At 50.4% G+C, this 26257-nt stretch overlaps 1 protein-coding gene across 17 annotated transcripts in view, besides 1 other annotated feature; it reads left to right on the top strand.

The window, feature by feature from the left end:
• Nucleotides 1–26257, top strand: part of ATP2B2 (ATPase plasma membrane Ca2+ transporting 2) — a 384094-nt gene that overhangs the window by 315051 nt on the left and 42786 nt on the right. For 9 of the 17 annotated variants that reach the window (XM_006713175.5, XM_017006481.3, XM_005265179.6 and 6 more), the window contains 7 exons: nucleotides 4664–4789; nucleotides 6554–6586; nucleotides 7739–7798; nucleotides 13782–13823; nucleotides 14656–14814; nucleotides 17422–17636; nucleotides 21015–21257. In XM_006713175.5, coding sequence (XP_006713238.1) covers nucleotides 4664–4789; nucleotides 6554–6586; nucleotides 7739–7798; nucleotides 13782–13823; nucleotides 14656–14814; nucleotides 17422–17636; nucleotides 21015–21257 — 878 coding nt within the window. The remainder of the gene's footprint in view (nucleotides 1–4663; nucleotides 4790–6553; nucleotides 6587–7738; nucleotides 7799–13781; nucleotides 13824–14655; nucleotides 14815–17421; nucleotides 17637–21014; nucleotides 21258–26257) is intronic. The other 8 variants (NM_001438036.1, NM_001353564.1, NM_001683.5 and 5 more) reach the window with 2 other exon arrangements.
• Nucleotides 2775–2975: a silencer, noted in NCBI's record as "peak4536 fragment used in MPRA reporter construct". NCBI's record gives its function as "represses an SCP1 promoter by STARR-seq MPRAs in K562 erythroleukemia cells {active_cell/tissue: K562}" and the evidence as "EXISTENCE:reporter gene assay evidence [ECO:0000049][PMID:32103011]".

Genomic DNA, 26257 nt, shown 5'->3' with positions numbered 1-26257 from the left:
AGAGCCTGGCATGGAGTTGACACCCCACCATGTCTGTCCGTCAAGTGAAGGACTGTGGAGCTGGGGAAGGGGGGCGCCATCTGGTCATTCTGTCCACACGGGCCTCTGCCGGCCTCTCCACACCCTCTTCTTCCCGAGATGTAGCTGTCCACCCTACCCAGGACATGCCCTAGGCTGGTCTCCCTTAGACAGTGTCAAGACACTATTGCTGAGATATGGGGCCTAAGCCAGCTCCCTCCCCACTCTACAGATGACAAAACTGAGGTCCAGAGAGGAGAGGGGCTGGCCCCAAGGTCACATAGCAATCAGAATTAGACACCATGTCCCAGGTGCCCTCTTCTGGGTCCAGGGCTCTCTCTCTACCCCTCCCCGTGCTTGTATTCTGAAGGGCTCTGTGGGCAGTTAGAGGAGGTGGGGGCTACAGAGTGCTGCCCAAGGGACTGTGGACAGTGAGGTCCCACAAGGCCCTATCAGGGCCTCCATCCCCAAGAGGTTCCCACCTCTGCCCCTGTGGTCGTCCTTTGAGAGGTTTAGCCCACTGCGCTTTGACTTGGATGTCTGTTGCTCTGCCATTAATTGCTTCTGCCATGGTGTTAAGCATTGCCCTCTGCAGGGGACTCGTGGAGCTGAAGGGGAACGGTCTAGGGAATGCCCCAGTCCTTTGGAGTCTTCCCCTGGCAGGAGGGCCTGGGAGAGGACAGGGCACAGCCCAGTGAGGTGTGGCAGGAGGGGGCACAGCTGGGATGAATGTGACCCTCTGCAAAACATAAAGATGATTTATTAGGGACATTGGTATTCCCAATTATAAATGTAATACATACCCACCCTGGAAAGTTCAAAATAGTACAAAAAATTGTGCTGGAGTTGCAGCTCCAAACCAGGCTGTGCGGGGGAGGCCCAGAGGACACTCCCACTCAGACACTGCCTTCAAGGGGCTCATGGTCAGGTTGAGGAGCCAGGCCTGGAAGCACCCCCAGAGGAGACTTCAGGTGATTCAGAGGAGACAGATGAAGTCCCCTAGTGGGAGTCAGGAGGGCTACCCAAGGAGAAGGGCATTCATCCTGTGGAGGAGGTTGTGAGCAAGAGGTGAGGGAAAGGCATTCAGGTGATCACTGTGAGCAAAGGCCAGGGAGGTAGACACCAAGGCCCAGTGAACTGTGCACACTCCAAAGGCAGAGGCCACGAGACAGGACTCAGTGTCCAGGGCCAAGAAGGCAGAGGTCTCATCCAGGGGACACTGACTGAGTGGTTTGGACCTCAGGGAGCCCTCCAAACCCTCGAAGAAGGGATTGGAACTGGAGGGAGACAGGTAAGAGCAGAGGCTTGGGGATACCGGAGGACAGAGGGAGGGAGGACTGGGGATTGTAGATGCCCCGTCTCCCCTGCCCTGGCTATTGCTCAGCTCTGGAGGACACCCTGGGGCATCTCCAGGTCTGGGCGGGGAGCGCACTATGCCTAAGCCCCTCCCTGACGTCCTCCTGCCACCTCCCTGCCTCCGGATGTGGGTGTAGAGCTGCCAGCTCCCTGCTGCGATGGGAGTGATTAGATTAGAAGGTGATTTGGGAGTCTGATTATCGTGGGTGGAAATTGGCCCCCTGCATCTTTTTCCATCCTGTCTTGGGTTGGGAGGTGGGGAGCAGCCTCTTGGTTGCCACCTAAGCCAGAGAACCAATGCCTTCATTTCCAGCGAACCTTTCTACTCAGAGCAGAATGTGTCTCAGACCAGAATGTGAGGGCCTTGCCCCTGGAGGCTAAGTGGAAGGTAACAAAGACAACAGGCTCAGGGACAGCAGAGAGTTCAAGTCCAGGCTCTGCCCCTCACCTGCAGAGTGACTCGGCAGTCCACCCCTCCACTCTGAGCCTCAGTTTCCTCCAGTTTGAGGACTAGATGAGATCATTGAGCGTGGAGGGCAGCATGTGCCCTGCACACAGTAGGTGTTCTACAGAGGTCAGCTTGGGTGGCTGTTACTGCTTTCTGTGCCCTATGAATGCAGCGTAGTGTTCCTTCCTCTCCTTTGAAGAGTCTCCAGTGATACCCGCCATGAGACCCCAGTTTCTTATCTGTCTAATGCTGATATGTAACAGCCCCTCCTCCTAGCACCCTAACAAGCCGAGCTGGTGCCCACGGAGGCATCTTGTCAGCAAGTTATTATAATGAACAAGGCCCTGTTACTGGCCCTCAGCAGGGTGACAGAGCAGGGTGGGGTGCTCCAGGGTCTGCCTGTGATGAGAAGCCACCAGGCCTGGGCTGCTCAGCCTAGAGCCAATGTCTGAGCTCATTCTGTGGTCCCCACTGTGCCCTGCCAAGGGGGAAAAAAAGCACTGTCCTTCTGTCCTGGGAATGGCCAAAGAGCTTGCCATCTGAGAATCTGGGTTCCGCACACCCCCTCTGTGAGCCTTCATGACTTGGTTTCTGCATCTGTGCAGGGAGAGGCTGGCATTTACGTGCCTGAAAGGAATCACTGGAGAGTGTCTGTCTCTCTGTAAAGCACTTTGAGATCCTGAGACCCCAGAGACCAAGAGGCTAGATTGTTGCAAGCGCACACACACACACACACACACACACAAAAGCATGCACGCACACACACACAGGCACACACACACACAACATCGGGATATCACTCAGATCCTACAAGGAAAGGGACAAGGTGGGTGATACCACTTAAAAAGTGAAAACAGATACCTTGCTTAAGGCAAGCTCTTTAGGTCTGACCCAGAACCCCTCAACCCTTATTTTAGATACAATTCTAATGAGTTTCCTGACATAGACTTCAAATCTGAGGCAAACCAAAACACAGTGAGAGATAAGTTATGCTGAAAACAGGAAGAAGTGGCACCTAGTCTCGAGGGGACAGAAAAGAGAACTCTGAAAAGCAGAAGTGAGTTCCAGAAGCAAGGCATGGCATGTCGGAGAGTCACTGTCATGGCTGTCAAGGCCTCTGTGACACTGTCCAGCCAGGCCAGGGTGGAATTCTTACTCCCCCATCTGAGAAGGTAGTGTGTCCTGCATCATATACAGCTTTCTACCCAGAGTAGCAAAAAAATAAAAACAGGAAAAAAAAATGTGTGCCTGGAGAGCCAACCTTCCAGCATCCAGATTCTTCCAGCACCAATCAAAGGACAAAGGACCAGCAGTGCCGCATTCCCTCGCTGCTAGAACTGGGTGGGCATAGCTGCTGTCTACTTCCCAGACTGGGTCCCAGCTGTCCTCCTGGGGTCACCTTTGCTTCCCCAGTGAGGCCATGGCTTCAGGGGGCTTTTTTTTCCAATTTTTAAAATTATATTAATAGTAAAATACACATAACATAGAATTTACCATTTTAACCACTTGTAAGTGTACAGTTCAATGGCATTAAGCACCTTCACGTTTTTGTGCAACCATCACCACCATCCATCCACAGAACTCTTTTCATATTCCCAAACTGAAGCTCTGCACCCATTAAACACTAACTTTCATTTCCCTTCCCCAGCCCCTGGCACCCACCATTCTACTTTCTATCTCTGAAGCTGATGACTCAGGGGACCTCATGCAGGTGGAATCATATAGTATTTATGGTCCTTTTGTGGCTGGCTGGCTCACTTACTTACTGCAGTATCCTCAAGGTTCATCCATGTTGTAGCCTGTGTTCAAGTTTCTTTCTCTTTAAGGCTGAATAATATTCCATTGAGTGTATAGACCATATTTCTCCCCTCTCTTCAGCTTATCCTCCCTCTGAAGCCCTTGCTTGCTGTTGGACAAGTTGCTCTCTGAGCCTGCATGGTGGAGAGGCTGCCTGCAAGCAGCAACAAGGCTCTCTCATGAAACAATAGCTGACACTGAAGCCCCAAAGATAAAACAAATAAAAGTAGAGCCATCCTGACCAAAGGCCTCCTTCACCCACCATAGCTACACTTCCAGCCCCTGGAAAGAATGTCAGGGTCCTTTGGAACCCAGTTTGAGAAATCTAAAGTTCTAGGAAAGTGGTTCTTAACCTTTCTTGCAGCATAGACCCCTGGAGTAGTCTGGTATCATCATGTGCCACACCTATTCCAAATAAAGCCTTGAAATGCATAAAATGAAATGCATGAGGTCCCACAAGATCCCACTGAGGTCACAAAGGAAACCAATTATATTGGCATAAAGTAGAAAAAAAATATGTGGTATAGTAATGAGTGTACTTTATTAGAACACTGAATAACAAGATCTAGCAAGCAGTTGCATAACCACTTTATTTATAAAATAGAGATGAGCACCAACAATGCTGCAATAGCTGTAAAGTGATATGAAAAAATCTGTGATTTTTGTAATGTGTGTAGTGGCATCATGGACACTGATAACACTCCTGGAGTTTGATGTCTACATCTGTAAGGGTGGTAGAGGAGTGGGGAGAAGGAGACAGAAGGAGGAAGTGACCCTCCAGGGCAGGTAGTAGGTGGTGGGCCTGGAGATGTTTGGGGTACCTGAGAACTGATAGGTAGCAGTGTTTCCACCCCAGCACTGTCCTGAGGTGAAAGCATCTTGAAAGAGCCCACCACACACACAGTGTGAATCTTAACCATAGGTGATGCCCCATGACCTCTGCAGGCAAAGAGCCAGGAGCTGACTGAGACCACATTTTTTCACTCCTTTGGGGAGACGGCTTCAACCATGCAATGGTAACTTGGCTTTTGTCCCCTTTCCCAGGAACCCACGTGATGGAGGGCTCAGGACGGATGTTGGTGACTGCTGTGGGTGTGAACTCTCAGACTGGCATCATCTTTACCCTCCTGGGGGCTGGTGGTGAAGAGGAAGAGAAGAAAGACAAAAAAGGTAAGCCTAATCCCCTTGCAGACCAGGAGAGGAGCTCTTAAGGCCACATTTTTTTTTTGTTTATTTGTTCACTCAACAAAATAGTTATTGAGTGCCTTCTACGTCCGCACCCTGTGCTGACAGCCACCTCCTGCATCCTTAAGGCCTGCATGGGCCAGGTAGGCTCTGTCTGTTCCATCTCCAGGTCTTGTCCCAGTCTCTGTCTTGTCCAATCATGTCATGGAGGCCCCTCCTTCCCCTCCGGGCCAGGCCAAGGATGCTGACCATGTTGTTGAGTCTCCAGCCTCAAGTGGTGGAAACAGCCAGCATCAATTGGTCCCATCATCACTCCAGTATTGAGTAGAAATCCCCACCCATTGGAAGCATATTCCTTCCAATATTGTCAACTCCACTGAGCAGAAATGAAAATCCACCCAGCATAGATTCATCCAAGACATGGGCAGAGGAGATTCTGGGAAAGGTAGCCAGATGCATGGCTCCAAATCAACCATTATGAGTTTACTCTCCAGTGCTCCCAGACCTACCATCTTGTCTGAGTTCTGATTCTTCCTCCTCCTTGAAAATAAGATTCCTTATTCACTGGGCTCTCCTCAATGCAGCGAGCTGACCACCCAGGCTAAAACTGTCTCTCAGAACAGAGGGAAAGATGCTCAAACAAAAAGCTCAAGTCTCTTCAGGCCAGGCCCAAATCCAAAGGCCCAGGCTTCTGGTCCCAGCACAGCTGACTCCTTACCTGTCCCCACACTTGATCTCAAAGATAGCCCCCCTTTCACATTTTCAGTCTTTTGTCTCCTTCCTCAAGCACAAAGGGAGGATCTGTGACATTCAGAACTTCTAGAACCCCAGAAGGGAGATGAGAGGACAGATGCCTCCCCCACTGAGTTTTAGGGGCAGCCCTGCTCCCTCCAGCTCTCAGAGGCTAATCAGGCACAGAGCTTAGGTCGAGACTGAAGATTACTTGTTCCTGAAGGCAAAATCCATTTTCTAGGGGGTCCCCTAAGATTATGGTGGCCCCTCCAGCAGGACAATGGGGCTGAGCTGTGTTCTGGGAAATTAGAAGGCTGGAGAGAGTAAAGGGGTGCTGAGGCTGAAACTGAGGAAAGAGTCGTGACTAAGAGTCCCAGAGGACATAAGGAGAGTGTGCACATGCTGGGTTTGAATCTGTGGTAGGATGGCTGAGCCCTATTCCACAATGATAGCAGTTAGGCAGATCTAAGCAGGTAGGCAGGATGCAGCAGCCTGTACTCATTGTCTTCACCTCACTGAGGCTTGAGTGAGGGGAAGACGCCCCCAGACTCTTCTATGGGCCAGATCTGTGGTTTTTAAAATGCTAGCAGGGCCAGATCTGTGGTTTTTAAATGCCAGTAGGAAGACAAGTGTCAACTGCCCCAGAAGCACAGTTCAGGGTCCTTCGCTGAGCATGCACCTGCACTCCTGTGAGATGGAGATGTCAGAAAAATAGCCTCATGTAGAAGGAAGATGGGGAATGTGGAAGGGATGTGGCAGAGGAAGCCTGGGGGAGCAGTCCAGCATCTCAGGCCACCATGAGCAGCATGGCCTCAGCTGGGCCCCCTCTGCCCTCCCATCCCATCACCTCCACTAGGAACATTGCTTAGAGCCCGCCACATGTCCCCATTTCAGGATGACCCTAGGTGTATGGCCATGTGTGTATGCACATGTGTGTTTGTGTGTGTGCGCGTGCGCATGGGCAGATGAGGCTGTGTGCTTCTCCTTCATTAACATGTCTCAAAAATCATCACACAGGTGTGAAGAAGGGGGATGGCCTTCAGCTACCAGGTACAGTAAGACACCCTCAGGGTAGATGGGCTTTTAGAAATAGCAGCAGGCTTTGGTCATTGGGCCCTGCCCCTAGACCACCAGCACACAGCTGGAGGAGGCCACATGCCTGTGGGTGGCTCCACCCCCCAGACCCTCCTTTGTGCCCTCCTGTGATGCCAGCCCTGTGGGACAAGCCAACACCCCACTCCACCCTCTTGCCCTTACAGTGCCTCACCCTACCAGCCAATGCCAAGTGGTACCACCCCCATCTCTACACCACCCTTAGCCCTGCGTACCAGCATGCAAAGCTTGCTCACCATCATAGGACCCTCCCCTCAGGCCCTGCTCTCCCCACCAGCACCCCTGGGGAGCCCATGCCCTCACGCAACAGTGTGCTTCACCCAGTGGGGCCTCTTCCTGCCCATAGAACACTATTCCCTACCCACAAGAAAGAGCAAAAGGTGTGAATTTAGCCATCTCATATCACTTTTAATTTCTAAATTAAGAAAAATTCACTAGTGCCTTTTCCATCCCATATACAAAATGCAACATGCTTGATGTCACCTTTTAAATTTGGGGGGCATCTCACATGGGAGTTCCCAAAGCAGTCTCTGGAATGCCAGTTAAGGAAGGAGGCAATGGCCTGAATCAAGGGCATGAATCCAGTTAAGTCAAAGTCATCACCATTAGCAAATGTTCTTCCAGAACACCCTGATGCACAGAGATGGTGGTCATGGAGAATACTCATTCTGAGTGGTCCGTGCCCACGCTGCACTGCCTAGTGAATATTTTTCCACTCCTGGCCCCCAATGGGCAGCCAGATCTCCTCATTTCATGGAGCCCTCTCTTCCAGGGGACTCTCTTGACTGGTTGGACCAGCAGGGTCCAGACCTCAGCACAGACCAGCACCATCCCAGCTAACCACCCTGGTCATCCACCATGCTTTATTTGAAAGACCCTCCATGTCTGAGTTTCTCCCCTCAACCTCTGCGGCATCTCTATGGAACATTTCACCCCCACCCCAAATTTGAGTTTCTTGGTTTCCAAAGGATAATTTTTTTTTTTAAGAATAGAGTCATGTTATCTCCCCACAAGTTGGTTCATGTCTTTGTCGTTGTTGCTTTTCTCCATTGTGACACTGCATTTTCCATCCCTCCCACCCCCCTGCAGCAGCAGACGGTGCGGCAGCTTCAAATGCTGCAGATAGTGCGAATGCCAGCCTAGTCAATGGTATGTCTCCCACGGCGAGCTCCTGGTCATGGTTGGATGGGCGTCTCTCACCCCCACCCCAACTTTGGGCTTTCTTTCCTTGTTCTGGACTGCACAGATCTCGGATGTGCATGGGCCGCTGGGACAGTCACCTTCTCACATGGGGCAGGCGCTTAAGACAGGAGCCACAGCCGGGGGAGTCAGCTCTGCAACCTGTCAGCCTCACAGCTGCCAAAAAGGTGCTGGCTCCTGTCGAGCCCTTGACTCCCCATGGAGCCCAGATAAGAGACGAGACTTTGGCTTCAGATTGGCTCCCAAGAAGGAGCGTCCCACCTGGCATGGCCCTCTCCTAAGTGTATTCCTGGCCCTGGCTTTGGGAAGAAGGCCTGGGATCAGGGCTTGGGCTGAAGCTGGCATCTGGGTCCCCAGCAAAGGCTCTAGTCCTCGACTCTAAAATTTCCTCGAGGCAAGGGGACCCAGGCCGGGATTCAGCTCCTTGGCCCTGTCCTGTAGCATGGCTGAGCCAGCAGTAAACAGTTTTTCCTCTTCTCTTTCACGGAGCCAACGGGCAGGGGGTTCGCTTGGGCTCGGGCCTGGTTCTGTCCTTCGGATGTGGACTGGTGTTTCTTGCTGTTGCCTGTGCTGGAGCGTTTGTCCTGGGTCACAGGGGTGGAGGGTGGGGGAGAGGGGCTGGCACTGTGTACTGGTGTCTGCATCTTAATCTCCTTACACGCAAGCAAGAAGGAGTTCCATTCACTTGCCCCCAAAGCCTTTAGAAGATTTCGGATTTCTATCCCCTTCTGGCTTCAGAGCAACAGACAAGGCTTTTGTTTACTCAGATACCACCCCTATCCCCAAATAAAGTGACATAATAGTCCCCCAGGCTACTCCTGAACTGTTGAGAGCCATTAGGGCTCCATCATGAAAACATTGCCCCAGAGGAGCTGAGGGCAGGGGAAAATCTTTTTCCCACCGTCTCTGCATACCAGGCACTGGGCTGTGGGTTTCTCATCCATTATATCATATCATTCACTTCTCACCACTCCTGCAAAATATGGAGACTTGTTCCCCGCAGCCTCCCATCCCCTGCCCTAGACCTCTCCCCAAGCCACCTGCATTCAAAGTGCCCAAAGATGGAAGCACCTAGTAGGTGTCGGGGCTGAGTAAGGCACTTCTGCGAGCAGTGCCTTGCCAAGAAGGACTAATTCTGGTATGGCTCTATTTCAGGCACAGGAGGAGGAAGGATGACAGCTTGGGGAGTGGGAGGTGTCATGCCTCAGGGAGGGGTGGCTGAGGGTGACAAGGAGAACCCATGTGGGCAAACCCATGGCTGAGAGAGAAGGAACCTAGAGGGGGCACCCACTTCACCCCGGCAGTGAGCCTGCTGAGCTTTGTGAACATACAGACCCCATCCAGGCTGGCCAGTCTCAGAAAAAAGGGCAGCTTTACTTCCAGACTGCAGCAGAAAACCCCAAATATCCCAAGAGAAACTGTAGGAAACGTTCATTTCTTGACCACCTACTGTATACCAGGCACTGCTGAAAGCATTTCATATTCACCATCTCATTTAATCCTCATGACACCCCCATGATACAGGTTTTATTGTCCCCACTTTAAAGATGAGGAGACTGAGGCTCAAGGAGACCAAGACACTAGCCTAAGGTCACAGAGCTAGAAAGTAGCAGAGCTGGGATTTGAACCCAGAACCCAGACCTGGCTGGCTCTAAAGTGTGTGCTTCTCCTCCTGATCCAGGATTTCCCAGTGGAGTGTGTCTTGTAAGTTTCACAAGGATGTTAAGAGGGCTTTACCCCAAGAAAAGGATTCTGTGGTCAAAGATGTTTGAGAACCACTGGATTGAATTGATCTCTTCCTGGTTACAGAATTAGTCCTGGTTACAGGACTGCTCAGAGCCTTGAATATGCTGGTGTGTAGCGGAGAGTTACAGAGTCACATAGAGTTTCCTAGGCTGATTTGACTGCAAGACCTTTCCTGGCTGAATCCTGTGGAATTGGTCTGCCCCATAATATACTCTGGGAAATAATGCTCTAAGCCATTGCTATTCAAAATGTGATCACAGGACCCAAAGCCTGCACATCACCTGGGAGCTCCTTAGAAATGCAGAATCTCAGTTTTTTATTTTATTATTATTATACTTTAAGTTTTAGGGTGCACACGTACCCTAAAACTTAAAGTATAATAATAATAAAATAAAAATTAAAATTAAAAAATTAAAAAAAAAGAAATGCAGAATCTCAGACCCCACCCCAGACCAACTGAAGGAGAATCTGCATTTTAACAGGCTTTCCAGACTCCAGGTGAGAGCACATTACAGGTGGAGAGGCACAAGGTGGAACCTTGCCGATTGAGAGAGAATTAAGTGTTCTTTCCCCTCCTTCCTCTGAGCCAGATCACAATGACTTGGATATGGAAAAAAAAAATTAGGGTGATAATTTTTCCCTTTGACCCTGCTCCCCCAAGCCCCCAACTGAAAAATGGGTGTGGTCCATTCATCTTGGAAGCATTATGATTGCCATTATTATTTAGTTATTTTTCTTTTACATTACTAGTGTGTCACTATGTAATACATGACCTGTAATCATGGTTATAATCACAGTTAATTATACATCATGAGGCCGGGCGCAATGACTCATGCCTGAAATCCCAGCACTTTGGGAGGCCAAGGCAGGTGGATTGCTTGAGGTCAGGAGTTGGAGACCAGCCTGGGCAACATGGTGAAACTCTGTCTCTACTAAAAATACAAAAAAAAAAAAAAATTAGCCGGTCATGGTAGTGGGCACCTGTAATCCCAGCTACTTAGGAGGATGAGGCAGGAGAATTGCTTGAACCCAGGAAGTGGAGGTTGCAGTGAGCTGAGATCATGCCACTGCACTCCAGCCTAGGAGACAGAGTGAGACTCTGTCTCAAAAAAGAAAAAAAAAATTATACATCATGGGCTGGGTACAGTGCTTCATGCCTATAATCCCAACACTTTGGGAGGCCGAAGCAGGAGAATCACTTGAGGTCAAGAGTTTGAGACCAGCCTAGACATCATAGTGAGACCACATCTCTACAAAAAAAAAAAAAAAAAAATTTAATTAGCTGGGTATAGTGGCACACATCTATATTCCCAGCAACTCAGGAAGCTGAAGTAGGAGGATTGCTTGAGCCCAGGAGTTCAACGTTGCAGTGAACCAAGATCACGCCACTGCACTCCAGCCTGGGCAACAATAATAATAACACATTACTACTAACTCCCAACGTTTACACAGTGATTTTCCAGTGCCTTTCATAAACATCACCTTAGTTGATATCCATTTCACAGAGGAGAAAATGGAGGCACAGGGAAGAGAAGTGGTATTTCCCAAGTCTCCCAGGTAGTGGTCTCTCTCCCCAGAGCTTGTGTATCAGGTCAGCTTACCAGGAATCCTCCCAATCCATGCACTTCACACCCATGCCCTTTGTGATGCACAGAGAGAATAGACCCATTTGGAAAAGGTGCATCTGACTCCAGATACAGAGAAGGGCCTCTGAGACCCCACCTGAGGGCTCAGTCTTGGACCCCATTCCTAGCTCTCCTGAAATACAGCCCATCTCCAGATCCCACATGGGGCCAAAGCTGGCTGTTCCACCATAGTTCAGGGCCAGGCGAGCACCAGTTTGGCCAGGAGAGCCCCAAATAAGTCCCTCGCTTCTGAGAAACCAGGCCATCTGTGCCTCAGCACTCCCAGAACATCCTTCCCTTCCTCCAGCATATGCATTGGTGATTATTTTTCTGATCACGTGTTCACTCTGGAAATAAAAGAGGAAAGTGCTAGCTGGGCTTAATGAGTGCACACACCGGCTATTGCATCTGATAATATGCAATGCAAATAAAGGCCCCTTTGAGCCTTCTAAAACCAACTATTGAAGTGGAGTCCCCTGGTGCCCCTGAGCCCAGTCAGTAAAATTATTTTAGAAAATAAAAATAATTGTTGTTATTCATTCCTGCTTACTCTAAAAAGCTTTTTTCTCTTGTGTTTTTTAATCCAGTAGAAAGAATTTTACAGTAGAGACACAGGGGGTCTTTCACTTTAAAGCCCAGGATGGGCAACTGATCCTTTGCCATGGGAGGCCATGGGGACAGCTCTGCACTTACCCTTGAACAGACAGTGCTGGGCGAGGTTCGGGGAAGCCACTTCTCCCCTCTGAGTCACCCAGAAAGTGGGCACAGTGACAGTGATGAACTAATCCTGCAGCCATGGGGCTATTCCGAGGATGCTCCTAAATTCAGGCTGCCTCTGAACTTCCCTTGGCCTCAGTTTCCCCATCTATAAAATGAGAGTGATGAAAATCCCTCCTGCCCCACCTTGCAGGGATACTGGGAAGACTGACAAGAGATGACACTTGCAAAAGCCCTTTGAAACTGCAAAAGGCTGAACCGTGCAAGTGATTATGATGAAGGTAACTGGGACACTCTGGGAGGTGAATGTCTCATCCTGTTTTATGAAAGTGGAAGCTTGATGAGATTGGGAGATAGAAAGCCAGCAGCTAGTTGGTGGTGAAATGAAGACTTCAGGAACCCTGTCGCAGCAGTGCCACCTCAACTTCCCTCCCCTGGGCTCAGAGGGGCTGAGGGGTGTCCATGGTCTCCCTGACGGCAGCTTCTGGAGAAGCAATGGCAGGACGGAAGTAGGCACGCACTTTGGGGCCAGCTCTCCATTTACCCATTGAGACCCAAGCAGCTCATCTCCCTCTCTGAGCCTCAGTTTCTCATCCATAAATGGGTATAATACAAGCACACCCTTCATAGGTGAGGCTGTGGCGAGGATTAGATGGAATCTCAGAGCTTATGTGTGTGCCCAGCACATGGTGGTGGACTGTCCTGGAATGTGAGCTGTGAGAATCACCATTGCAGCCATCATCCAAGGGTGGCCAACCTTCTCAGACCCCTCCCAAGGGGGCGAGGCCTGTTGGCAGAGCAGGCAGAGCTCTGGGTGAGCGTGCAGGCCCAGTAGATGGGAGGGTGCTGGCGAAGGCAGGTGTGCTAGGCAAGAGACAGAGGCCTCCATTGCCCACATTGCACACCCAGCCCACAAGCTCCTGGCCAAGGCTGGAGTGGGGGCCTCCCAGGCAGCTCTGATGAGTCGGTGGGGGGCAGCCAGATGCAGCACCAGGCCCTGGTATGGAAGGGGATGCCCACGGACACTACTTAGCCTGCTGCTGTAGCCTGAGCCATACCCCTACCAAGGGGTCAGCACCCCCATTGGGGACCAGAGCACTTCATCAAGAACCCGGCCACACTTGAGGTCCCTCGTATACCACCATGGGGACCCCTGATCACTCTTTGTTCTGGTCACTCTCAGGGGCATTGGGCAAGGGGTCATCCTTGGGTGGCTTCACACTCTTCAGAGTGTGAAGGAGAAAGATCATCCCTCTTGAAGGCCAAAACTAAGGAACACATTGACCTCAGTGCCTTGTCCAAACTCCTCTCCATTCTAGAAACACTCTCTCCTCTCTCTCTGTCTCTCTTTCTCTCTCTCTCCCCCTCTCCCCTCTCTCTACTGCATGTTTTCTTTTGTGGGAAAATGAAAAGGACGTAACTGAACAAGCTTCCCTTTGCCTTCTCTCAACCCAGAAAACACCAAATCGGTCACAAAAAGCTTGGTGTGGGGGCCTGAGTGCTTCTCTGCTGCCTCCTCCAGCAGACTCTAATCCCCTGCACCCTCTGATACTTCCCTTTGATCTGTAACACGCTCAAGGCCAAAAGTATTCCAGCAGAAACCTCCCTCCTGAGTCCCCTGGAGAATCAAGAGTTGCCCGGCTGGCAGGCCCCACAGCTAAGGTGCGGCCAGGCCTGCTCCTGCTTCAGGGCCCTCCCCAACCCGTATCCCCACACAGAGGGATGCAGTCAGCACGGCCCGCCCTTCATCTGTGACATTAATGTCTGTGGCCTGTTGCGTCTTCGTGATGACCGACCATGTGTTGTCTGTTCTCTGTTGTCTGTTAAAATTCTTTGTCGTGTAGGTAAAATGCAGGATGGCAATGTGGACGCCAGCCAGAGCAAAGGTAACCCTTTTGTTTTAACCGGCGTTTGTCGTCCCTGAGGCCCCTCCCCACCGGCTCTGACAGTCACACCAGAGACAGAGACTGGCAAGGGCCAGAGGCAGACACATCCACTCCTACAGGTGTCTGACGACCTTGGGGGTGTAGCTGTGATTTGCATGGTGCCAGGCCAAATAAAGAGGTGTCCACCGGTGAGGAGGGGGATACCCATGGGCCAGCATCTCCCTAGCCTTTGAACTCTGCGCCCCATTCAGCTGAAGACTTTGAGATCCTTAGAGGTTGAGGGGTAGGGAGTTTGGCTCAGTCTCTGTCCAAAAGGGTCACGGGCCCTCCAGTCCATCCTGCATGAAGAGGCCACGCCAACTGGGATAGTGACTTGGCTCCCATGGCTGCCCTCTTTTACGTTCTAAGCCTCCTTTTTTGTCCCTCCTGTCGAGTGGCTACTTAATATCCCACAACAGGTCCCAAGGACCAGCTGGGTAGAGCCCAAGCCTGTCTGTCTTGTCTGAATGTGGGAAAGGACAAGGGACCACCTAGGGTAGGACTCACAGGCTTGTTCAGGCCGAGAGGGGGATCCAGGGTAACAGCATCAGTCCCTGCTGTGTCCCAGATTCCAGGTCTGAGGCAGCGAGTACCACTGGGATCCATAGCTCCGGCTGGAAGAGGCAGGCCCCCATCACAGGACTTCTGCACCAGCCATGCGGGGCTCAGTCCAGGCAGTCAGCACCTACCCTGGGCAGGCAGGGGTGGGTGCCAGCGTCTCCACCCTGTGGGCTGACCTGCATGTGTGTCTATGTGTCTGTGTGTATGCACGTGCGTGATCTGCCCCCTGCAGCCAAACAACAGGACGGGGCAGCCGCCATGGAGATGCAGCCCCTCAAGAGTGCCGAGGGCGGCGACGCTGACGACAGGAAGAAGGCCAGCATGCACAAGAAGGAGAAGTCCGTGCTGCAGGGCAAGCTCACCAAGCTGGCTGTGCAGATCGGGAAGGCGGGTGAGTGCAGCAGGTGGGAGGCAGGGGACAGGGCTCACAGGGGGACCCCAGGCAGAGCCCTGCCCCATGCTCGGCCTCAGTTACCTCATCTGCAAAGTGGGGGGCTTGAATGAGTGCCTGAAGCCCACCTTTCTCTACCACAGCACCCAGTCTGAGTCCTGTGTACAGAAGGCACTCCATTAGCACTCAGTGATACAGAAGAGTGAAGCTCGAGCAAATCCAAGGCTCTGGTAGCAGACGGCCTGCCTTCTTGTCCGGCAATGGCTGTGAGAACTTGGGAAAGTAACTTCTAGCTCTGAGCCTCTGTATCCTCATCTGTAAAATGAGGATAATAGTTGTCCCCACTTCACAGACTGCTGTGGGAGTTAAAGGAGACTCTGCATACAAAGCATTAGCACTTGGCAGGTGCAGCAGCTGGAGAGGGTGCAGGGCCTGAAGTTCCAAGCAACACAGACTTTATCCTGAGGACAGTGGGAGCCATGGAAGAGACTTGAGCAGAGGAAGACAAGAATGGGTTTGGGCTTTATCATGACCACCCTGGCCACAGTGCAGAGGAAAAACTGAAGAGGTTGAAGGACATTGCCAAGAGCCCAGGGAGAAACCCATGGTCTGAGCCCCCGCACAACAAACTGGGCATCCCAACTAAAGTGGTAACTGCAGGTGATGGCTGGTGACAGCCCCGCTGGCCCAGCTGCAAAGTGAGCCCCCGACCCTCTGGCACGGCCTAGGCTTCCCCTCCCGGGTAAGGAGGTAGCAAATGCCAAGGCCTTCCCACCTGGCTGCTCGATCCTTTGTGGCTGTCTCCCCAGCTCTAATTATAGACACCACAGCATGGGGAAGGGAAGCAGATTACAGGCTTGGCTGTCTAAATTTAAACTTGGGGGCCTGGTGACAGCTCCCGGCTAGCTGGGAGCTTGGCTTCCAGCCCCTCCGACTGTCAGACAGGGATGGAGCCGGCTCTGAGGCTCCGCAGCTGGAGGTGGGGGTGGAGAGCTATGGGCCCAGGGATTTCCTCTATCCTCTATACCGCCATCGCCACCGCCACAGGCAGAAGACTCTATGGAAACATGGCACTGACAGGGCCGGGAACGAAGCGATGAGAACAACCCCATGGCCTTCAAAGTCCTCACTCCTCTCCCTCCTGCACCTCGGCCCTGCCAAGAATGGAGTTCACAGTCAAGCACTCCTGGGTTCACAGCCCATCTCTGCCTCTCTCTTTGGCTGAATTCCCTGAGATGGGTAGGCAGGGGATCTATTGACAGGGTGCTCTCAGGTGAGACCTGCAAGGGGCACAGGTCCACGCTAGGGAAGAAGCCGGGGGCAGCTGAGATTTCCAGAGAACTCCCAGCCTCTCCCGATCCCATGGGAGCTCTGGAGCAACCCAAATCCATCCTGCCCTCCTCTGCTCAAACCTCCTCCGTGACTCCCACTGTCTTCAGGATAAAGTCCATGGCTGCCCAGAACTCTAGGGTCTGTCCTACCTCAAAGCAGATGGCTGGGCTTTGGGACTAACACGTCAGCCACTGGATGTTGGCCATCAGGTTAAGATGGGAGTGCATTCCCAGGCACTTCCCAACAAGGGGACCCAGTCACCTGAGCAGGCTCTTCCTCTGTCAGAGTCTGCGGGTGTGAGCAGTCTCCGCAGCACCTGCAGTAGCACCTGTAGCAGATGGGGGATGGGCATGCTAAACTGAAGAGGAAGCCCCAGGGGATCAGGATGGGTCCCCAGCTGCGTTCCTACCGTTACAGCATTTCTCTTGCCTGTGGCTGCAAGCAAGTCACTTCCCCTATCTGAGCCTCAGTTTCCTCATCCAAAAAAAAGCCACCTGCTGTTTCCTCTACATGGAATGTTCTTCCCTAGGTCACCATGCGACTGGTGTCTGCTCAAATACCACCTCCTCCAAGAAGCCTTCCCTGGCCACCCTAGCTAAAGTAACCACTCCCTACCCCTGTCCCCCATGTCACTTTCTATCACATCATCCTGGCCTTTTTCTTCACAATGTGTCACCATATCTGAAACTGTCTTGTTCATGTATTCGTTTTTTTGTTTCTTGTCTTCCTCCTCCTCTAGAATGTCTGCTCCTCAAGGGCAGGAACTCTTGTCTTCTTTACTGCTGTGTCCTAGTTCCCAAACTAGGAACTAAGATGTGCCTGGCGTGTCATAGGTGCTCAAAAGGTATTTGTCGAATAAATGAATAAATAAATGATACCAACTTCACGTCATTATTGTGTGAAAGCTCAATGCAAACCATTCCTCCTTTATTCACACAGTCACTCGGCACACATCTCTTGAGCACCTACTATGTGTCGAGCACATACTATTGCCGAGCACTATGCTGGGCACTTTGCATGCGTTATTACCACATTTGAGCCTTACAAAATCTTGGGGAGGAAGTATGCATCCCCATTGTACAGAGCAGGAGACTGAGGCTCGGTGAGGATCAAGGTCTCAAGAACTTGCCACAGGTCATAAAGCAAGGAGTGGCAGAGCTGGGAGGTGAGCTGGGGTCAGCCTGACCCGGAGCTCTTTCAGCCAAAGATTTGGTCCACACCACCCCCAGCCTCCACTTCCTGGAACCCCCCAAGCATGTGTCCCTCACATTGCAGGCTTGGTGATGTCAGCCATCACGGTGATCATCCTGGTGCTCTACTTCACTGTGGACACCTTCGTGGTCAACAAGAAGCCGTGGCTGCCTGAGTGCACGCCCGTCTACGTGCAGTACTTTGTCAAGTTCTTCATCATTGGCGTGACGGTGCTGGTGGTCGCCGTGCCCGAGGGGCTCCCTCTGGCCGTCACCATCTCGTTGGCCTATTCGGTGAAGGTGAGAGGGGAGGAGAGCAGGACCAGCCGGCTGATGCAGCTGCAGCTGAGGGCCTGGGGGAATCACTGGGGCTGGTGCTGGGGTTGGGAGATGAACGAAGAAGCCCCATAGACCCCCTAGGAGCTTGGAAGAAGAATGTATGCAGGACCCCAAAACTCTGACGCTTTCATAGAGTCCAGGGGCCTGTAGCAAACCAGAGAGCCATACCCTGGCTGAAGAGGCAGCTGTTATTCAGCCCAGCCACACGCCGCCTTGCAGGGGTGCAGGCCCAGCATTGCCACATTGTCACCTTTTTCCAAGAGAAGCCAGAAATCTGGACTTAATGTAGACTCTCGTGATTTTTAGACATTGATAATCAACTCAAAAATTTTAAAAAAATAATAAAGACATCACCGTGCAAGCCAGAATTCATCCTTACCCCACCAAATTTACGTAGAAGTCTGGCGGTCTCAGTCGTAGGCCCCGCGGGCAACTGTAGCGCTTGTAAAACTCATCACAGAGGTGGCTCCCTGAAGTGTGAGGGGTAAGCCAAAAACAAAAAGGAAGTCTGATTTCATAGAAGCCTCCTCCCCTTGGGAAAGAGGCTAAAAATATAAGAAATTTTAAAGCAGTTAAATGAAGAGCTGGGGTCATGAATGTTTTCCGGGGAAGCTTGGTCTGGGACCTTTCTAAGCGCTACCCTGATGGCAGAGCTGCACCTCCACCTGCACCCAGGCCATGACTGTCTGCAGTGCCCAGTCACTGCGAGTCTGACCCTACTGGGTCACCCCCAGGTTCTCACACCCGGGTCTCATTTTCTTCCCTTTGCCCCATGTTTTCTCCACCTCGAAGGGCCGGGCGTAGGGCTTCTGTTTCCCAGTGCCCCATGCCAGAATGTCCCTGCAAGGGTGGAGGCGTGGCCATGTTTATAAACGAGGCATTCACTCTGAGAAATTGGCAGAGCCTCCAGAGGGCATGGTGAGCATCAGTTTCCAAGCTGGAATTTGGGCTGGGCTCTCCGATGTAATTTCATACAGAAAAGAGATCTCTAGACAGACGCCAGAAAGTGGCAGTTCTGTGTAACAAATACGGCCCTTATCGTCTTCCTGTTTTAAGGTTCTTGAGGAAACTCCATCCCCACAAACCAAAGCCCAAACAGGCCACAACAAGAGGCTACTTTGGGACCCAGGGCCAGCAGAGGGTGACTGTTATAGAGCCACGAGTAGGGGGCCTCCACAGCCACTTCACTGAGCCCGGGGATGTCCTTGAAAGTTGCACAGAGCTGGTTTGGGAGAATCATATACAGATGCTTTTAGGCCTCTGCGCCTTCTGCAGTTCGTATCTCTGGCACCCGCTACCTTCGCTCATCTTAGGTAGTGTTAAAGTTAGGTACTTTTACAGTCACTTGATAAACTTAGGAGAGCACCCCAACACAGGAGAGGCAGACTGTGCCCTCTCTGAGCCTGGACCTGGGAGCCACCATCAAGAGCACAGAGATGACTGACCACTTAGATCAGCACTGCCCAAAAAGAGACAGAATGTGAGCCACGTGTGCAATTTTAAGTTTCCTAGTAGCAGCCAGACGTGGTGACTCATGCCTGTAATCCCCAGCACTTTCAGAGGCCGAGGCAAGAGGATCGCTTGAGCCCGGAAGTTCAAGATCAGCTTGGGCAAATAGTGAGACCCCATCTCTACAAAATAAAATAATTTTTTAAAAAAGAAGAAAAAATTCCTAGTAGCTACATTATTTTAAAAAAGGAAAAAGAAACCAGTGAAGTTAATTTTAATAATGTACTTAACCCAGTATGTCAAATCCAACACTATTATCCAACTTATTATCAATCCAATGTGTGATCACTATAAAAATTATAAATGAACTACTACTTTTACATTTTTTCAAAATATCCTCTAAATCTGATGTATATTTTGCACTCACAGCACATTTCACTTCAGAATAGCCACATTTCAAGTGCTCAGTACCCTATAGGTGTAGTCACAATACATGTGACTACCGTATTGGATAGTAAGGACTTAAAGATTCTTGAGCCCAACAGACAAACCCTCTTCAAAGAGTACAGGTGGGCTGAGGCCCAATAGAAAGGTCCAGGCTGTGAGGTTAAACGGAGGTAGGTTCAAATCCCAGCTTTAAACCCCTCCGGGTGTGTGATCCTGGTCAGGTCACTTTGCCTAGATTTCTTCAGTTGCCAAAATGGATTACCAGAATCCTTTCCTGTGCCACAGAATTCTTAAAACATCGGACAAGAAGTAATTCACAACAAGGCTTTGCAAACTGTAACATGTTGCAAATTCAAGTTGCTGTTGATCATTCAACGTGCGTTTATTATTACTATTATCACAAGTTATAGTAGGAGAAACTGCCAGAGAATATAATCCTACTAATACTCATTTTTAGTAACATAAAGCTCTATTAAAATTATTATTCTTTTTTACCCTGGTTATAAAGAGTTATAATGAGGAGCAAAAATAAAGGAAATCAAATTCCTAGGCACAGCCTAGAACTCCATCTGATTCAGCTACTATGTCAGGAGGGCCTGCATGAAGAACAGTATTTCCTTGAGAATTACTTCATTTGCATTACTTGTTTGAGAGCCTAGAAGAAGGTATGAGTGTGGAGTTGGGCCAGAGAGAAAAGAAGGCAGATAGAAGAAAATATTGTGTATAGGAATATTCCATTTTTGTTATAAATTTCAAAAAAAAAGGATGTTGATATACAAGATGTACCTAGTTCTGGATGGTAGCTAATAGTTGATATGTTTTCTTTTTCCCTTTTGTGTATTTTTTTAAAGAAATGTGTGGTTTTTATTATGCAAGTGATATATGTTAGTCATAGAAAAGACAAAAATCTGTAATTCTATCACTTAGCAATAATGACATTAATACTTTGATATTTTTCCAGATATTTTCCTGTATCCTAATTTATTTACTTTTGGTAAAATTAAAATGAGAATGAAAGCCAGGCGCCAGTGAAAGATAATAGGTTTGAGAAAATTCATGACCAAATAAGGAATAGTTACTTATGTTAGTCTATAAGAGAAAAATACTTAAAGTACTCAGAGAGGGAACCAACCTTATTTATCTTTCCCCCTTCTTCCCGTAAAGAATGTAGATTACTTCTGTAATCCAAATTAATAAATTCAATTAACTGAGTCCTTTAAATGGTTCAGATACTAACAGAGAAAGGAAAGGGCCACGCGCAGACAAAAGAAGCCCAGGTATAGGAGGCAGCAGCAACCAAGATCCTTTACAAGTGCCGGAAGCAAAGGGGCAGGCTGTGGTGGCTCTGCCTTATTTACTGCATGTTTACCCAGTGCCTCCAGGCACCCCATGCTCCCCAGCCCCTCTCCTCACTGTTGCCCTCTCACCTGCCCCTTCTCCCAGAAAATGATGAAGGACAACAACCTGGTACGCCACCTGGATGCCTGTGAGACCATGGGCAATGCCACAGCCATCTGCTCAGACAAGACAGGCACGCTGACCACCAATCGCATGACAGTGGTACAGGCCTATGTCGGCGACGTCCACTATAAAGAGATCCCCGACCCCAGCTCCATCAACACCAAGACCATGGAGCTGCTGATCAATGCCATCGCCATCAACAGCGCCTACACCACCAAGATTCTGGTAAGTGTGGACCAGGCACATCCACCACCTGGAGCAACATCCATGGGATGGTACAGAGGTACTGGGCAGGTTGAGCAATGTGATTCATAGTCTCAAATCCTGCTAATATATTTTGGTATGGTCAGATAGTAAGCAACATGTTTCTGTTTGAGTTAATATACTATTAATATTGCTACAATGTTTGTGTGACAAAGAAACCTTTATTGTTAATTATGCTTTTTAAATCCTGTCGTTGAACCCCCACTCCCCCTGCCCACACACAGACAAACATTCATTAGTGTGCTTTTGCTGCATAGCAAACTACTCCAAAACTTAGTGGCTTGAAACAAACCTGTGTATTTCACTCAAAGTCCTGTGAGTCAGCAATTCAAGCTGGGTTCAGCTGGATGGTTCTTCTGGTCTCAGCTAGGCTTCCTCCTGCATCTGTGGGGGTTCATGTGGACATCTCCTCTGATCTTGGCAGAACTGTAGGCTGACTTGGCATGGCCTCAGCTGGGCTGGCTCATCCCTGCCCTGTGTGGTCTCACCTCCTCCAGCAGGCTAGCCTGGGCTTGTTCACATGGCGACAACAGGCCTTTGAGAGAGGACAGAAGTGTGCAAGTCTCTTGAGGCCTGAACCGCCACGTTATCACTTTTTGCTGCATTCTCTTGGCCAGTGTAAGTCAGGAGGCCAGCCCAGATTCACACAGTGGTAAAATAAACTTCACCTCTTGATGAGAGGTGCTGTAAGGACATGGATTCAGAAAGGAGAATAATTGTGGCCATTTTCACAGTCTACCACTGATGATGTTGTTGTTGCTAATAGTAGTAATATTATTCATTTTGATAAGAAAAACTCTCAACCTACTGTCTCAGCTAAGCTGTCTAGACTCACCATGCTGTAAACCCTATCTGGTTTAGAAGCACAGGTTGCCTCAGCACTAGATGAAGAGAAACCCAAACTTCATCCATCCAGATGTCCATCAGCTCCCAGATGTAGAACGTTTCTGCCTTGAGAGCATCTGGGTGATCAGCTAAGCTTTTTTGTTTACCCTCCCAATGTGCTGAGCCCTGACCTCCTCCTCCTTCTGCCCCTGAGCCAGCTGCAACCTTCTCGATCAGGCTGGGTTTGTAGGAGCTGCTAGCAGCTTTATCGAAATGGGGAAGAGAGCGTGAGTCAGCAGCAAAGAGCCAAGGGCTGGTAGGGGAAGGAGGAGGAGGCGGCTCCTGCACCCTCCACAGCAGCTGAGCAGCCACCCGCATCATCCTGGAGCAGCAGGCTAAGGGAGGCAGAACTGACAACGGGGAAAGTAGGTCAGAGGACCCATGCAGACAGTGATAGAGAACCCTGGCGGTGATGCCAAACATGACGACGTTTTTGTCTTCTTCCCCCACCCCACCCAATTTGGGAATCAAGGGAGATCAGCGATGCTTTATTCTGCTCCCCAGGACTTCCTAAAATAACTGGGATGCTGATAATGATCTCCTCCTGCAGACCTGGCAGAGAGGGGAACAGGGCGATTCCCAGAACGGGCTTCAGCCATGTGGGCACAGCCCTGTGGGGTGGGCTTGGATTGAGATGTGTGTAATGCAATTATAGTCAAAAAGAATTCTTGGGATCTGCCAGGAAGGCTGAGGAAACCTCTCCACAGTGATGAGTCTCAATTAAGCAGTGCTTTTTAGCACCGGAGGCAAAGCTGAAATGTCATTTCCAGATGTTGGTGGATTGAGTCTTTTCAGGTGGCATAAAGGACAGGGGTCAGTCGGTCCATCTGAGGAGGTCAGGGACCTGGGAACTGGGGTCCTTGGTTTGTAACCCAGGCCAGATCCCTTACCTCTCAGACACCAGAGTCCCCTCTGTGCCTGGAACCCTGGCATCATAGATACCTGCGCCTGTCTTTCTGGGTCTTTCTTGTAAGTTCCCTGGCCACATTATTCTCTTTGCTGGGAGCTGACAGCCGTCGATGTGGGAAGGACAGCAGAGCCTCTGTGTGACTGGGTAGTGGTTAAAACTTGGACTCTGGAGCCAGACTGCCTTCGTTCAAATCCCTCACCAGCTGTATGAATATAAACAAATTATTTAACCTCTTGGTGCCTCAGTTTCCTAGGGGAGGGGGAGAATCTTGGATTGTTGTGAGGATAAAGTGAGTTAGTTAATGGAAAGTGCTCGGCACACAGCACTCAGTATGACTAGTATTGTTGTTATTCAGCAATAAAATCACCCACCGAAAGAGGATTCCATTTGTAGCAATGCAGAGGTTAACAAATAAAGAGAGCAGAGACATCAGGGCTAGAGAGGGAAAGGCTATTGCCCAAAACCATTCAGCCAATTAGCAGCAAAACTGACCCATGGATGCCCTAAAGCTAGCTGCTGAGTCTGATGTCCAGACTAGGTTTTTGGTCATAGATACCAACCCTGCAGCACCTCTAGCCTACGGTCTGCTTGGGAAGAAAGGTCTGGGGTCCAGAAGGTGAGATTCACAGCCAGGGCCTGCCAGCCATGTGGGGCAAAAAGCCTCTCAGGGGCTCCCCTTTCTAGGTTCAGATGAAGACTGAGAAGAGGCCCAAGCTGCTCTGCTCAGGGCAGACATCCGGCCACCCTCCAAACCAGGACAGGAAATCTAGATTGCAGGACATTCTGAACCCATACAAGAGGAGACAGGGCAGGAAGGGCATGCAATGTCCACCAGCTTCACTACCCATCAGCTTTAATTGGGAAATGAGCCTAGACTGGGAAAATAAGACCCTGGGCAGGGCTGGGCTCCCATATGCTGTATTTCCCCCTCCACAAGGAGGCCAGTTCCTCTGTGTCTTCTTGCTGTCTGATGCCAGGCTGTGGGCTTTTTAAGAGCAGGAGACAGCTGAGTCTTCTCTCATCCCCCTTGGATAGACTTTTGGGAAGTGCTGGGTGGATGGGTGATGTAAGTGAATGGACTGATGGATAAATGTGTTGATGAGCAATCAATGAGATGAGGGATAGGTAGGGAGAAGGGGGGATGGATGGATGAGTGGTGGGTAGGTAGATGGATGGGTGGATGGATGAATGAGTGGATGGATGGATTGATGGATGAATGCATGGATGGGTGTATGGATGAGTGGGTGGATGAATAGATGGGTGGATGGGTGGATGGACAGATGGATGGCGGTTAGGTGGATGGATGGGTGGATGGATGAATAGATGGATGGATGGGTGGATGTGATGGTTGGTAAATGGATGGATGGATGTGTTCATTGGCGGATGGATGAGTGGATGCATGGATATATTGGCTGGTAGGTGGATGGGTGGATGGATGGGATGGGATGGGTAGATGTGTTGATTGCTTGATGGAATGGAATGGTGGATGAATAGATGGATGGATGAATGGACGAATGGATGGATGAATATGTGAATGGGTGGATGGGTGACTATGAATTTATAGGAGTCTTAAGGCAGGACTGATGTCTCTACCTTCTAATTTTTTGTTCTTGTATGGCAGCAAGAGGCAGGAAGTTGGCCTTGGATCCAGTCCCATGGCCCATACCAGTGCTCTCTCACTACCTCCAGCTTGTTGAGCTGGTCTCTTCCACAACTACCCTCAGCCATCCAGGCAGCATTGATCCATAGACCTCCCAATTAGCCGATGTCTTTTACTGAAAAAAAAAAAGAGTATTTGCAAGGATAGATTGCAAGGTCTACAAGACTCACAAACCGTAGAGACCACCTAGTTCAGCCCCCTCAGTTTACTCTGAGAAATGGGAAGGGATTTGTCCCAAGTCACCCCATGGGTTAGTGACGTTAGAATCCAGGTGTTCCAATACCTAGCTCAGGAAGCAATGGTTAAGAGGTTTGGCTCTAAAGTCCGACAGACCAGGTTCATATCCCAGCCCCAACACTCATCACCTGTGTGATCCTGAGCCAGTTACTTAACCTCTCTGAGCCTCTGTTTTTCAGTCTATAAAGTGAGCATATCATTATTGCTAACATTTACTTAGCTAGGCTCAATGCTGAGTGCTTTCCCTACCTTGCTTTGTATGACAACCCACAGAGTGGGTGACACCACACCCCAATGCGTAGATAAGGACCCTGCAGTTGGAGCAGTTAAGCCACATGCCGAGAGTACCCGAGCAGATCTGAGGCCAAGCCAGGATTGGAACCCAGATCTGTACAATCCCAAGCCCAGGCCCAGGTCCCTGCCACTCAGGGCAGAGCCACACCTCTGCCATGAGGCTGTTTGTCCGAGGGCTGTTGTGAAGCTTAGACGAACTGAGGTGTGTACAGCACCCTGCACAGTACTTGACACAGAGCAGGCAGGTGCTCATCCATGGCAGTCATTACTCTGTTTCCCTCTGCTGCTCTTTCTGAGCTTTCCCCTCTGTAGTTTGCTATGCCAGCCACTGTCTTTCTTGACCCTCAACATCCCCTTCAGATCAGCTGGCCAAATAGGACCATTCCCATCTCGCAGCTAGGAAAACCGCGCTGCAGAAACAGAAGGGAACCTACCAGGGTCGCTGCTCACCACCAAGTGGCAGAGCTGGGCCCAGAGAATTCTGGAGGAATTCACCAAGCAGGCAGGGGGCAAGAGTATTCCAGGCAGGGGGCACAACCCTGCAAAGGCCCAGAGATCTTAAGATGTGTAGCTCACTTAGGAAACATGGTGATTTGTGGCCTGGGCATTTCTGCAGGGCCAGAATGACAAGAGGTGAGGCTGGGAGAAATGGGGGGAGCCAGTGGTAGCAAATAAGCCCCTAATGGGCTTTCTCCTCCCAGCGCTCAGAAGAACCACCCCAGGCACGGGTGGAGGAGGGTGGTGTGAGGGCTGAGGCTGCAGGCTGGGAGGCCTCTCAGGGGCCCAGCCCCACCCTGTGCCCCATCCTTTCTGAGAATGGCAGAGCCTTTTTTCTTTCCATTCTTATTTCTAATCATCAGTAACTAAACTTGCCCTCTGAGGGAAGCTGTGTGAATCATCTTTTAGTCAGAAATTGCTTCCCTGCCTCAGAAACCCTGGCACACCCTCAGATTCCCTTTGTGGTCTGCGGTGCTT

The sequence above is a fragment of the Homo sapiens genome, chromosome 3 (genome assembly GCF_000001405.40).
Source record: "Homo sapiens chromosome 3, GRCh38.p14 Primary Assembly".
NCBI classification, from domain to species: Eukaryota; Metazoa; Chordata; class Mammalia; order Primates; family Hominidae; genus Homo; species Homo sapiens.
This window is presented reverse-complemented; position numbering and strand designations above follow the sequence as displayed.